Source organism: Homo sapiens, chromosome 1 (assembly GCF_000001405.40).
Source record: "Homo sapiens chromosome 1, GRCh38.p14 Primary Assembly".
NCBI classification, from domain to species: Eukaryota; Metazoa; Chordata; class Mammalia; order Primates; family Hominidae; genus Homo; species Homo sapiens.
Genome location: NC_000001.11, coordinates 197,055,552 through 197,070,659, shown reverse-complemented (window position 1 = coordinate 197,070,659; position 15,108 = coordinate 197,055,552). Strand labels below are relative to the sequence as shown.

Genomic DNA, 15,108 nt, shown 5'->3' with positions numbered 1-15,108 from the left:
CCGTAATGATATTTTTATGATGATTTCCCAAGTGTTCTTTGAGCTTCTTGTGTATGGATGGCTAGATTTCTAGCAAGGCCAGGGAAGTTTTTTTTTTTCAATTATTTCCCTAAATATGTTTTCCAAATTTTCAGATTTTTCTTCTTCCTCAGGAACACCAATTATTCTTAGGTTTAGTCATTTAACATAATCCCAAACTTCTTGGAGGCTTTATTCACTTAAATTTTTTTCTTTGTCTTTTTTGGATTGGATTACTTCGAAAACCTTGTCTTCAAGCTCTGAAGTTCTTTCTTCTGCTTGTTTTATTATATTGCTGAGACTTTCCAGTACATTTTGCTTTTCTCTAAGTGTGTTCTTTATTTCTTGAAGTTGTGACTGTTTTTTATTTATGCTATCTATTTCACTGAAGATTTCTCCGCTCATATCTTGTGTCATTTTTTTGATATCCTTAAGTTGGATTTCACCTCTCTCTGGTGCCTCCTTGATTAGCTTAATAATCAAACTTCTGAATTCTTTTTCTGGCAGTTCAGGAATTTCTTCTTGGTTTGGATCCATTGCTGATGAGCTAGTGTGATTTTTGGGTGGTGTTAAAGAACCTTGTTTTGTCATAATACCAAAATTGTTTTTCTAGTTCCTTCTCTTTTGGGTAGGCTATGTCAGAGGGGAGATCTGGGGCTCAAGGCTGCTGTTCAGATTCTTTTGTCCCACGGGGTGCTCCCTTGATGTAGTATTCTCCCCCTTTTCCTAGGGATGTGACTTCCTGAGAGCCAAACTGTAGTGATTATTATTACTTTTCTGGATCTAGCCACCAGAAGGGCTACCAGGCTCTGGGCTGGTACTGGGGGTTGTCTGCATAGAGTCCTGTGATGTAAACTGTCTTCAGTTCTCTCAGTCATGGATACCAGCACCTGTTCCAGTAGAGGTGGCAGGGGAGTGAAAGGAACTCTGTGAGGGTCCTTAGTTGTAGTTGTTTGATGCACTAGTTTGGTGCTGGTTGGCCTCCTGCTGAGAGGTGAAGCCAGCTGGACTTCCTGGGTCGAATGGGGACTTGGAGAACTTTTCTGTCTAGCTAAAGGATTGTAAACACACCAATCAGCGCTCTGTGTCTAGCTAAAGGTTTGTAAATGCACCAATCAGCACTTTGTAAAAACAGACCAACCAGCACTCTGTAAAATGTGCCAATCAGCGGGATGTGGGCGGAGCCAAATAAGGGAATAAAAGCTGGCCACCCGAGCCAGCCGCAGCAACCTGGTCTGGTCCCCTTCCAGGCTGTGGAAACTTTGTTCTTTCGCTCTTTGCAATAAATCTTGCTGCTGCTCTCTTTTTGGGTCTGCACTACCTTTATGAGCTGTAACACTCACCGCGAAGGTCTGTGGCTTCACTCCTGAAGTCAGCAAGACCTCGAACCCACCAGGAGGAAGAAACAACTCCGGACGCACCATCTTTTAGAGCTGTAACACTCACTGTGAAGGTCTGCGGCTTCACTCCTGAAGTCAGCAAGACCAGGAACCCACCAGAAGGAAGAAACTCTGGACACATCTGAACATCAGAGGAACAAACTCCGGACACACCATCTTTAAAAACTGTAATGCTCACCGCAAGCGTCCGCAGCTTCATTCTTGAAGTCAGCAAGACCAAGAACCCATTGGAAGGAACCAATTCCAGACACACTGCCATGAGGTAGTGCTTTCATGAGAGCATCAGCTGTGGTATATAGGGGAGGATCAGGTGGTGGGTGGGACACTAGAACTTCCAAGAGAATATGACCTTTGTCTTCAGCTACCAGGGTGGGTAGGGAAGGACCATCAGGTGGGGGCAGGGTTAGGCATGTCTGAGCTCAGAGTCTTCTTGGGTGGGGCTTGTTGTGGCTCTGTGGGGAATGGGGGTGTGATTCCCAGGTTAATGGAGTTACCTTCCCAGGAGGATTATGGCTGCCTCTTCTGTGTCATGCAGGTTGTCAGGGAAGTGGGGGAAAGCTGGCAGTTACAGACCTCACCCAGCTCTCACACAACCCAACAAGCAAATCTCACTTCTACTGTGTTCCCCCAAAAAGCACCGAATTTGTTTCCAGGCAGTAGGGGAGCAGGATTGAGAACTTGCCCCAGGCTACTAGCCTCCCAGCTGAGAATGCAAGCCAGACTTTTGTGCCTCCCTACCTGTTAAGTCTGCACACCAGATTCACGCCCTTTCCTGAGTTCTGGACAGGAAAGTTTGTGTTCGGTTGGAATTGTTACTAAGTTCAGCTGGAGGTTTCCTTCTCCCTGTGGTCTTTTCCCAGTTCCTCCGGCAGCCCCTGTGAGACAAGTCAGAAATGGCTTCTCTGGGGACCCACAGAGACGATGGGGCTTTACCCTTTGCTTCCTCTACCCCTGTATTTCGCTCAGCTCTCTAAATTGTCTGAGCTCCAGGTAAGGTCAAATCCTTCTCCTGTGATCTAGACCTTCAGGTTCCCCAAGGGTGTGTGTTCAGGGGTGGACAATACCCCTTTCACACTTTTCACAGTTTGGGCATTCACAGTATGTGGGCTATTTTCTGGGTCATGCAGGAGCAATATACTTTCTTCAGAGGGTCTGTGGATTATCTTGGCTTTCCTGTTATATCCTTGCAGCAGTTCTTGGAGCAAAAGTTCACAATGCGAGTCTCCACATCCTGCTCTGTCCATCCAAGTGGGAGCTGCAAGTTAGTCCTGCCTCCTATCCACCATTTTTTCCTATTTTGTATTTTAAATTAAAACTCATTAGAATGTAAACTCCATGAGGGCAATAATTTTAATCCAGTTTTTTCACTGCTAAATACCTCAAAACTGTTACATGTGCTGCCATTATCATGGACGTTCTAAACATTTCTCATGAATGAATGTTGATATAGCACAGTGCTGATCTCACCACCTGCCACAAAGTAAAAACTCTCTAAATGTCAAACACTACTATTATAAGTAATACTATTCTATCATTGAGACAACTATGGTTCTGTATCTCTTTAAGGAGTGCAGTCTAGGCAACAACATATTTCAACATCAGGTATCTGTTATCTCATGTTCCTAAGTTCATCTTTTTACCTGATCAATATTAGTAAAGATCTATGGCCTCAAGTGAACTTTACTCTATGAATTTACAATTGGGAACTTAGGTTGAAAATTTACCTAGTATTATTTATTCTGCTGCTATAATTTATTATTTATTCTGCTGCTATTGTTGCCCTAATCAGTTATCATGCTCTTACTGGACTCTGACATGGTAAGTAATGTCAATTAATATAGTTGTGTTATTTTAACATTATTTCAAAATATTTTAAGTGAAATATAAGACTCGTTACAAAAGGACTTAGACAGAGGTTATAAATTATTAACTTTTTCCTCAAGAGAAGTATTGTGTACTTAATGACAAGTTCCTAGTGCTTAGAATTGTTAAAATCTTTGTGAAGCACACCACTGAAGATGAGGTTGAAAAACCTGACTTTTATCATCATATTGATAATCTCAGGAGAACTCTATGCAGAAGGTAAAATTAATTCTTAATATTCTTTATTCTCTAAAACATACAAATGGAGATTCTAATATTTATACAACTCAAGTTTTAATATACTCTTCTATTTTCATTATCAATTTTATAACATATTTTATAAATATAACTTTTTATAATATTTAGACCTTTTCCTTTGAGCAAAATTAGTAAAGTGTTCTTACAGTAGCATAAGTCAGAAAAGCAAAACAAAACAAAAACCCTTGTATCTCTAGGGGGCATAGGAGACCAGGATCTAAATACTTCGAAAAGGTTTTCAGGTTAACAATATGTCCATTTCGAAGTCACATGTTAACTTTAATTCTAAATTTATGCTAGAATCCATTCCTAATACTGACAAAACTTGTACAATTTTAATTCTGTTCATAAGGTGAGAGTTTAATGTGGGAAATTTGAAAAGGAAATAGCCATAAATATTTTTTACTTTTGAGACTTTGATTTTTATCACAATGAATTATTCATTTGTTGGAGACATTAAGTAGTGATTAGTAGGTGAACCATATAATTGCTTGTACAAACAGGGACACTTAGAGAGTAAAAGAGGGGCTCTATTAATAACTGTTTGGACAACACATGTAAATCAGGACTTTCCAAACAAACCAATACCTATGGACTCCCTATTAGAAAGCTTTATAGTCAGATTGCCCAATGTGTAAGATTAGTGTGCGAGTGGAAGCTAGGCAGTGTACATGGGTATGTTGTTCAGGAACATTATCAATATTATCAGGCCATAGGATGAAGAATCCAGGGAGGACACTTAGCATTAGCAAGAGTGAACATACAAAGAAGGAAGCTACAGCAATACAGCTTTTCTAAAATAAACATTTTTGGGAATTTGTTGAAATTAAATACATAAGTTTTAACTGTGTTTTAGTTGAATAGTTAACTATAAATTTTCTACCAAAACATCTATAATTAAAATTATAAAAGTGAAAGACACAGAATTAATCTTATTTTATACTTTTAATTCTATAATAGGATGATTTTTGCATGAATTTCTTTTGATTTTATTTTTCTGTCTAAATAGGGAAATACCAGCAGATATAATTGTCTGTTATCTATACCATAAAGACATTGCAATATTCTAGTTAATTTTCTAATTATTATAAGGTTATAATGCTATTTTACACAACAAAAAAAAAAGTAAGCTGCTTGAAGACCAAGACAATGATTTTATTTTTGCATGCTTCTCTCAACTCCCATTGTGCACTTCAGGGACAAGAATTGAATTAATTGTGTTTCTCATTTCATGGTATGCAAGTATTATTGGCCTATGAAAGGTCTCACTCTTGCTTTACTTACACATTTTATCCCCTTATTCCTAATCTTGAAGTCCATTTCCCCTGGGACCTACTACAATGTTTTAACATGTTACTCTAGCTCTCTCAACCACAAATAGCTCTGGAATGAATATTGTAATATAACCAACTTATCTTTCTGTAAGAATGTCATCAGTCTGTATTCACTCACAGATAGCATTATTGAGTCTATTCTTGTACTTGATTTCTGTAATGAGAGATTACTTTTGCAGAATGGCAGTTTTGAAGTATATCATCTCTGAGAGAGGATGTAAATTGTTGCTCCTCATCATTCTCACCAACACCTCATATTGTCCATTTTTGTACTGGTTGCTATATGGTTATTCATAAAGTGATATCCCATTTTTATTTATTTACCATTCTCTGATCAGTAGTAAGTGTGTCCATCGCTTCATGTACTTTTTTTAATATGTTCAGACATCTGTGATTTCCTGGTTTATATGTGATTAGTATATTCCTCACATTTCTCATTAATTTTTTGTCAGGAATTCATATTCTCCAAGGCATTCCAGCTACCTTAACAAATAATGTGCCTATCCTGGTGGTGGAGGGAGATGTCCCAGGACAGAGAGTCTTTAAAGCCACAACCTAGGATTGTTGTGCAGAGAATACTTTGCTGCCCCTCCCTGACAAGCAACTGTGCCCCTCAGGGAAATTTCTTGTGTATTCACCATTGCACTGCTATTTTGGAAGACTCTTTTTATTGTAAATTCCTTTGGTGCTTGGGTGTGAAAAAATGGTGAGAATAATTCTCAAGGAATGGGGACTATCCAGCCCATGTTTTTCTGTCTGCTCCATCAGATAGTGGAAGTTTTGTTGCTCATCATTCCACATCCATTTCCTTCAAACCTAGGCTAGCACTACTAGTATTTTATGTCTCATAGTAGCATTAAGGTATACAGTGATCAACCAAGGCATTGAAGCCGTAGTAATCACACTGGATCTAGGCCTTCTTCCATCCATGACTGCCCATGTTTCTTCCCACCACAGCTCCTAGGATTGTTCGAGCATTTCTTTCTTTTAAGTGTTTTTATGACTTTAAGATCTTCAACATAAAGATATATTTTTAAAATATATGTTTTATTTGGAGTATAACATATCCAGAAAAATGCAAAAATCACAGGATACACTTATATAGTTTTTACAAAATTTTACACCATCCAGATCAAGATATAGAACAGTGATAGTACCCCAGAAATATGATCCTTCTAAGGCACTAAACCCCAAAGGTAACCATTCTGACTTCTATTATCATGGATTAGTTTGTTTTCTTTTAAAAAGTTATGCAAATGTATACATTAATTCATATGTGATTGGCTTCTTTCACTCAATATTATGTTTATGAGATTCACCATTTGTTCATTTCTGTTGTTGGATAATATTCCATTGTATGCATAGTCTAAAATGTGTTTATCTTTTCTATTATTTATGGGCATTTAGATTGTTCCCAGTTTGGGACTATATGAATACTGCCACTATAAGCATTTTTTTCCATGTCTTTTGGTATACAAATATGTGCTTTTTTTATTGGGTAATATGGTTTGTACATGTTTTACCCCAATATATATTGCAAAGGTGTTCTCTCATAGAGTTTGGACTGATTTATACTTTCAGTTGTAGAAATATGCGAGTTCCAGTTTCTTCACTTCTTCACAATCATTGAGATAGCTTGTCTTTTTCATTTCAGCAGTTCTATTGGATATGCAGTAGTATCTCATGGTGGTTTAAATTTTCATTTCCCTGATGACTAGTAATGCTAAGTACCAGGTCTCTAACCATTTAAATATCCTATTTTGCCAAGTTCTTGCCAAGTATTGCTTTGTTTTACTTGGTTGTCTGTTTTTTCTTTTAATGCTATTTATTTCAAAATTTTTTATGAGTTAGCATATGTTAAGGAGAAACTTTACCTATTCCTGAACTGTACTGTCCAATACAGTGGCCATCAGCCACATATAGCTATTGGAGACAGTACTTAAAATGTCACTAGTTCAAGATCAGATATTCTGTAAGTATAAATATGTAGTGGATTTTAAAGAGTTAGAAAAAAAAAGAATGTAAAATATTTTCAATATATTGGGTTAAATAAAAACCTATTATTAAAACTAACTTCAATTGTTCCTTAGTATTTTTATGAATGTGACTATTAGAAATTTTTAAATTACATAAGTGACTTACAATACATATCTATTAGGAAGTGCAGGCAGGGTGGAGTGGTTCAAGTCTTGTAATCCTAGTGCTTTGGGAGGCCAAAGCAGAAGGATCCTTTGAGTCCAGGAGTTTGAGACCAGCGTGAGCAACAGAGTGAGACCCCTCATCTCTACAAAAAATAAAACAAAAATTAGCCAGATGTGGTGGCATGTGCCTGCAGTCCTAGCTACAGGAGAGGAGGCTTGCTTAAGCCCAGGAGCTCCTGGTGGCAGTGAGCTATATTTCAGCACTGCACTGAAGCTTGGATAACTGAGGAAGACTCTGTGTCTAGGAAGAAAAAAAAAAGTACTGTTCTACGAAGTTATGCAAAGCTTCCCTGAAAAAGTGGTCTGCTAAATTTTATCATGACTGTTGGATGTTTAAAGTCATTTGCAGATCAATTATGATAAAAGGACTGCTTGAGTTGTCACAAAAGTACCTTAAAAATTTAAGTAAGAAAAATAAGTACTAGTTGAAGTGTCTCTAAAAACTTTTAGTTTGTATTGTCACCTGATTACAAATTTATGTTTTTAGATTTGTTTTTCCATTTTCAGCTTGACATTTACTCATTTCAGAGAAACCCTGTGGTTTTCCTCATGTGGAAAATGGAAGAATTGCCCAATATTACTATACTTTTAAAAGCTTTTACTTTCCAATGAGCATAGACAAAAAATTGTCATTTTTCTGCTTGGCTGGTTATACCACTGAAAGTGGAAGACAAGAAGAGCAAACCACGTGTACAACAGAAGGCTGGTCTCCAGAGCCAAGGTGCTTCAGTAAGTCAGCTGGATATGTCACTCAATGTTTCAATACTCAAAGAAATTTGTATATAAAAATAGGGGTCCAATAAAAATGGAAAGCGGTTAAACCTTTTAGTAGATAAGAACAAAATCACTAGCAATCTGTCTTTCTACAAAATGAAGGCATAATTTGAAATCCAGTAAATAATGCTTTTACATTAAAATGTTATTTTCTGTATCTGTTTTTAATAATACTCTGTTGAAGGGAATAGGGTAATAACTGAAATTATCATATTGCAAGGCAAAGAGAGGTAATTTACTTTAAGTAACAAGAAACTTATTTTGATAATTAAGCATAAGATGCCAGAAAAATGCTTGAAACTCTGGCCTCTGGAAGGGCAAGATTGCTACTCTAATGCTTTATCATTTGTAAGACTCATCTCTCTTCATGTGCCAACTTCTCTCATGATACCCATTGAAAAATGTGTTTTTCAATTTTGAATTGAAAGTTTGAGTTCAAAGTTGTGAGAAGGTAATCTAATTGACTCATTTCATTATTTTATATCAGGCTACACTATCATCAAACTATCAATGATCTTCCACTAGGGCAGGTGACCCAGAGTAAGGGGCTTTGGTTGAGCCAGTTTCGTTTAAAAGAGGATGTTGAATATGGCTATTGTGGTTGATATATCTAGTAAACCTATCTAGAAGTAGATGTGGTAGGGGTAGAAATTACTATAAGAACTAAAATTAGTAAATACAAAGAGAGTCAGTGTTAAATTGAATCCATTTTCAAAAAAATTATGCAGATATTTCCAAAATGAAATCGCCAATAATAACATTATACTTTTGGCTTAATTTTACAATTTAGTAAAAGACAAGCTTAGTTTCATCATTAAGTTAAATAATTTTTTTTCCCATAGAAAAATGCACTAAGCCTGACCTGAGTAATGGTTACATCTCTGATGTAAAGTTATTGTATAAAATTCAAGAGAACATGCGTTATGGTTGCGCTTCAGGGTACAAAACCACTGGAGGGAAGGATGAAGAAGTGGTTCAATGTCTCTCTGATGGATGGTCTTCTCAACCAACCTGTAGGAAAGAACATGGTATAAGAATCATTTCCTAAAACTGAAGATAAGTGCTTATCAAGCTTATATTGAATATATTGAAGCTTATATTGATATCTATTATTTAATAGAATTTATTTTTCATTATGTCTACAATGCAGGAAGTTGATATTACATTGCTTTTCTCAAGTACTAGGTGATTCCTTAATCCAAATGTTCTCAATCCCTACAACCCACCTACGCCAATAGTTCCTACTTTGCATCAATAAAAGGAATTGGAATGGAATAAAATGAAAGAAGCTTTTTCTTTATATGTCACTATTTCCTTTATTACAGAAGAATTTAAGATCATGTACATTATTTTATATTGTGAACCAATGTCAGATATACTTAAAAATAGTTCAATAATTTAAATATATGTATACTTTGTTAGTAAGTTGTTTAAATTGTAAAAATGCATAGACAGCACATACTTTCACAATTGCTACTGCACAAGCCTTTAGTTGAATTTTGGCCTTTGGTCAAGCACTTGTAGACTAGAATTTTAAAAACAGAAAACTGGTAGAGTTAGGTCACAAGGTGTATGAAGAAGAGAATAGAGGCAAAGAAAAATTGGGGCTATTTTTCAATTTTGCTAAGAGTTGATTTTACCATGTATTCTTAAGATTTGTAAAACCATATTTTGAGATTTTTTATAATCTAGGTTATTAAAAAAGTTTATAAAATAAATAATTTTTATAATTTTAGAAACATGTTTGGCTCCTGAATTATATAATGGAAATTATTCCACAACACAGAAAACATTCAAAGTGAAGGACAAAGTACAATACGAATGTGCTACTGGCTACTACACAGCTGGAGGAAAGAAGACAGAGGAGGTAGAATGTCTCACATACGGATGGTCTCTCACACCAAAATGTACCAGTAGGTTCTCATTTGGAATAAAATCTACTCTCACTCTGAAAGCTTTTTCTCATAGAGAAGTGTATATAAGTTGTCATGCTCATTATGTTTCACCTTTTCATGCATTTTTGCCTTTATTTTTAATTATGTTGATAGCAGTCTTTGATAATTAAAGCTCTCAAGTAGAATAAATTCATTTTAGCTCACAGAATTAAATTAGAATAAGCCTAATGATATTTAACAAATATATAAAATGAATTCATAAGCTTTTTGGCAAATTTAATTTCTATTCTAGTTATGTCATGTAAATAGTGCATTTTGTTGTAGCAGAAAAAATAAACATTTGTTTGTAATTTTATTCATTCTTTTATTTGCAGAATTAAAGTGCTCTTCTTTAAGATTAATTGAAAATGGTTATTTTCATCCTGTAAAGCAAACCTATGAAGAAGGAGATGTCGTTCAGTTTTTCTGTCATGAAAATTATTATCTAAGTGGATCTGATTTAATTCAATGCTATAACTTTGGTTGGTACCCAGAATCTCCTGTATGCGAAGGTAAATTTTTAAATTTAATACTCGCAAAATGCCATGTCTTTATCAGCTTTAATCTCTATTAGCTCTGACAAAATTCCTGTGGTCATATCTATTTTTTTTCCTGAGTCCTATTTTTAAAATAAATATTATCTTTTAAATCAGTGCTATTTTCAGCAATCTTTAATATATCCCACCTGAATAAATCTTGTTTTGTCTTAGTTTGTAAATGACTATATCTTTTAAATTTATTATTTTAAAATATCTATTATACATTTTAAATCCCTTATTATAACGAATAACTTTTCTTATTGGGAATTATTAGGACTAATTACCCCAATCTGGCAGCTTTGCAAGGATATTTTCTCTTAATTTGCCACATATTTCCAGATGTAAAAATTAATCTCCAAAATAGTGAGGTAGAAAGCAGAGAAAGCAGGAAAAGCAGAAGAATAATGCCCAGAAGTGAAAATGGGAAAAGAGGTCATCTTGTAAAAGCTGCCCAAAAATGTAATATCTATGGTCACATTTCTATTACTGGAAGTGTCCAAACAGGTAATGCAATTACCTGTCAGAAGACATCCATAGTTATTTAAACAAACCTACAATTTAATATGAGGAGGGTCCTATACTAGCAGAAGATATGAAAACAGTAATTGCAGATATGAAAAAAATAATTGCTATAATGTGACAAATGGTACAATCAACTCAGGTACAAAGTGCAGGAATAAACATTAGAGATTCTGATTGGTATGCTGTGGAATAGCATTCACAGAAGTGATGGACAATATTTAAGTTGGGTCTTAAGAGATAAGTAGCAGTTTGAGAATTGGGAGGATAGGGTGAGGCAAAGGGTTTGATAGTCATTTTTTATTTTCTGTAATATGGGATATAAGGTCTATTGACAGGCAGGTGAAAGACATGAAGGTAGAACTTGGAGGAAAGTGGTGAAGATTTGAAACAGGTGCTAGGGGAAACAAATGAGGGCTCTGACCATGGGTATGCAGTGGGATTGCCAGAACTATCATAATTCCCTAAATGCACTGTACAGTAACTTTAAAGATTTTATGATTTTTCATTTGTGCTCGACATCCTTGGTATAGTAGTAGAGAAGTAGATTTTTTAAGCAAATTTTTTTAAAGTCTATTATTCCTTATTTATTTTTTATTTTTTTGAGATGGAGTCCTGCTGTGTCGCCTAAGCTAGAGTGCAGTGGCACGATCTCAGCTCACTGCAACCTCCACCTCCCAGGTTCAAGTGATTCTCCTGCCTCAGCCTCCTGAGTAGCTGGGACTACAGGTGTCGGCCACCATGCCCAGCTAATTTTTTTGTGTTTTTAGTAGAGACAGGGTTTTGCCACGTTGGTCAGGCTGGTCTTGAACTCCTGACCTCAGGTGATCAGCCTGCCTCAGCCTCTCAAAGTGCTACTTCAAAAATAAATGGCAGACCTACTTAAGGCCTTTTATACCCTTCTCCTCTTCCAAATTAGCCAGCATGACAACATGCCTGTTTTTTCCGGTAAACAGTCATTAGGCATACAATGGCTAATATAATTCAGCCCACAACAATATAATTCAGTTGTGGGCTGAATTATATCTCTCTTACTCCTCCCAAAATATAGCCACATTCTAATACTGAGAACCATTAAACGTTACCTTACACGGTACAAGACACTTTGAGGTTAACAATCTTAAGGTAGGAATATTATCTGGAACTATCTATCCAGACTCTAAATATAATCACAAATGCTTTTATAAAAGGGAGGCAGAGGGAGATTGACTGCAGAAGAGGAAGCAGGAGATGTGACAATGGAAGCCACAGGTTGAAATGTTTTGAGGAAGGGGTTGTGAGCCAAGGAATACAGGTGATTTCAAGAAGCTAGAAAAGGCAAAGTAGCTGATTCTCCTCCAAAGTCTCCAGCAGGAATGTGGCTCTCCTGATATCTCGATTTTAGTCCAGTGAAACTGACTCTGGACTTCTGGCCTCTAGGACTGTAGGAGGATAAATCTGTGCTGTTTTAAGCCACTAAATTGTAATTCATCAAAGCAGCAATAGGAAAGTAGTGTGGTCAGTATTTTAGAGCAGGAGACTTTAATTTAGACAGACGTGGGTTCAAGAACAGATCTGCTACATGCTATTAATTTATTTACTTCATAAGTTTTAGTTTGTCTATAACATGGGAGAAATAATAGTTCCTACTTAATAAAGTTATTTTAGGACTAAAAGAGGTAATGAATGTAAAATGCCTGCTGTGTTAGTATTCTATTGGTGCGTAACAATGTCACCACAAACTCAGCAGGTTAAAACAACACAAAGAAATTATTTCCCATTGGGTGTAGGTTGGGGGTCTGGGTGCGGCTTAACCGACTCCTTGCATCGATGGCTATCAAAGCTGCAATCAAGATGTTAGCTGGACTGCAGTCTCATCTGAGGCTTGACTGGGCAAGACTTCTTCCAAACTCACTGTAGTTATTGGCAGCATTCAGTGCTTTGCAGACTGCTGAACTGAGAGCCTCTGTTTCTTGTGGCTGTTAACTGAAGGCAGCCCTCTGCCCCTTGCCTTGCAGCCGTTCTGCTTTGGAAGCTCATGATGTAGCCTCTTGTTTCTTCAAAACCAGCAAGGATAGAGAGTCTCTTGGCAAGAATGGCGTTAAAAACTGATGTTACATAATTATGTGTGCATAATCACGTACTAATCCATCACCTTTGCTGTATTTTGTGGGCTAGAAGCAAGTCACAGGTCCTACTCATGGAAAGGGGTATCACACAAGGAAGTTAACATCAGGAGGTGAGGATCAAAGGAATGCTCCTAGAATCAGTCTGCCATTCTCTCTATGATGCTTGACATGATGAATATTTTAATTTAATCTTTATTATTTTTTGTAATTATATGACTAAAGGTGCTGATTAATTTTTTCCATAAGGAAGAAGAAACAGATGTCCTCCTCCACCTCTGCCCATAAACTCCAAAATTCAAACACATTCAACAACTTATCGTCATGGAGAAATAGTTCATATAGAATGTGAACTTAATTTTGAGATCCATGGGTCAGCAGAAATACGTTGTGAAGATGGAAAATGGACAGAACCTCCAAAATGCATTGGTTAGTAACACCTTGAAGAAGCTTTGCTAAAATGAAATCTGCATGTGTAGCTAAATGGTCAGTTCTCTTTCAACTGTACCTTTTCAGAAGGACAGGAGAAGGTAGCCTGTGAGGAACCACCCTTCATTGAAAATGGTGCAGCAAATTTACACTCTAAGATTTATTACAATGGGGATAAAGTGACATATGCATGTAAAAGCGGCTACCTTCTCCATGGATCGAATGAGATAACTTGTAATCGTGGAAAATGGACACTTCCTCCTGAGTGTGTTGGTATGTATGCTACATTTACCATCAGTAGCTAAACTTATGGTGTAAAATTTTCCATTCTGTTACTTTAATCTGAATATTCCTAGGAAAAGACCACTGCTTAGGCAAATTAGAAACACATTGCTACAGCACCTACTCTTCTGCTTTGCATGTGTGCATGTGTGTGTGCCTGTATGTGTAGCTATCTGTAGAATTTAAGTCAATGTAAAGAATTCTTAAACAAAAGTTTTTTTTGAACGCTAGTGCTAAGCACGGTTATCTGATCTGTGTCATGCCATTACCTGTAAGTTCTAAATGACAACACATAAATGACGATGTGCTTCATTAGATAAGTAAATAAGGGCATGGTGGATTGAGTGACGGGCCATGAGCATTATCTACTTCTTCTCCCCATATGTCCTGCAAAGTTAGGGTAGTGCATTCTGTTCTTGACCTTGGGTAAGTCCTGCTGATATTTTGCATCTGGCCATTCTGAACCTTATGCCCTTCTGAGACATGTCCCTGGTCTTTCATTTTACTGAAAGGCACCACCAGGCTACACTATCATTCCTGGAGACTACTCTTCCTGTCATCTATCTCATTTCTTAATCAGATCAGAGCAACATCTCCACACACATGTTTATCTAGGATATTTATTAAATAAGACAAAAGCAATGAAGGATGCTAAAGAAATAGATAAAGTGAGAGAAAGATACCAAAAAGAGGAAAAAAATTGATATTTCCTTCATGGGTCTATTGAGACCTGAGATGAAGAGGAATGAAAAAGAAGAAAATAAAAGTGGGGTAATGCCAAAGAGCAATTTTAGAATTGACCATAATCTTTAGGTTGAAGAACAGTTTCTCATTCTATAGGTTTAAGAAATGTGTATATCATAATTCCTTCACAATTGAGAAAAGAGAAAAATACGTATAGTTGTTTTTAGGTAACATATTTGCTGTCAACTCTTGCTTAGCAAATTTTAAAAATATTTGAGCTGAAAAAATTTTTCATATTTGTAATGAATTTATAAAACAATTGTCCTAAATTATATAATACAAATATCGAGACACTATAGTATGAGTTACTATAGTATATTGTTATGAGCTCATATTAATTTTAAAACAACCTCTTTTCTTAGAAAATAATGAGAATTGTAAGCATCCTCCTGTTGTAATGAATGGGGCTGTTGCAGACGGGATATTGGCAAGCTATGCAACAGGATCCTCAGTGGAATATAGATGCAATGAATATTACTTACTGAGGGGATCAAAAATATCTCGTTGCGAACAAGGAAAATGGTCATCCCCACCTGTTTGCTTGGGTAAGAAAGAGAACACATGGAATGTCTACGTTTGTACTTTTATGTGATTTTCTTACAGTGTTTTATATCATGAAAATGATGATTTTGTACAAATCTTTTTTCACAAGTGTTTTCTCTCTCATTTCTTTAAGTAGAAAGTCCCTAAAATATTAGTGTATTTTTT

At 36.2% G+C, this 15,108-nt stretch overlaps 1 protein-coding gene across 7 annotated transcripts in view, besides 1 other annotated feature; it reads left to right on the top strand.

The window, feature by feature from the left end:
* Positions 1,093–2,292: an enhancer, noted in NCBI's record as "BRD4-independent group 4 enhancer chr1:197037498-197038697 (GRCh37/hg19 assembly coordinates)". NCBI's record gives its function as "activates an origin of replication core promoter dependent on BRD2, P300/CBP, MED14 and CDK7 cofactors, and independent of BRD4, by STARR-seq in HCT116 cells {active_cell/tissue: HCT116}" and the evidence as "EXISTENCE:reporter gene assay evidence [ECO:0000049][PMID:35650434]".
* F13B (coagulation factor XIII B chain) overlaps positions 3,400–15,108 on the top strand; it is a 28,520-nt gene continuing 16,811 nt past the window's right edge. For 3 of the 7 annotated variants that reach the window (XM_047449422.1, XM_011509284.3, XM_047449424.1), the window contains exons 1-8: positions 3,400–3,500; positions 7,603–7,803; positions 8,691–8,876; positions 9,585–9,761; positions 10,118–10,294; positions 13,195–13,374; positions 13,465–13,647; positions 14,763–14,945. In XM_047449422.1, coding sequence (XP_047305378.1) covers positions 3,437–3,500; positions 7,603–7,803; positions 8,691–8,876; positions 9,585–9,761; positions 10,118–10,294; positions 13,195–13,374; positions 13,465–13,647; positions 14,763–14,945 — 1,351 coding nt within the window. In that variant the 5' untranslated portion in view covers positions 3,400–3,436. Of the gene's footprint in view, positions 3,501–7,581; positions 7,804–8,690; positions 8,877–9,584; positions 9,762–10,117; positions 10,295–13,194; positions 13,375–13,461; positions 13,648–14,762; positions 14,946–15,108 lie in introns of all 7 variants that reach the window. The other 4 variants (NM_001994.3, XM_011509283.3, XM_047449423.1 and 1 more) reach the window with 2 other exon arrangements.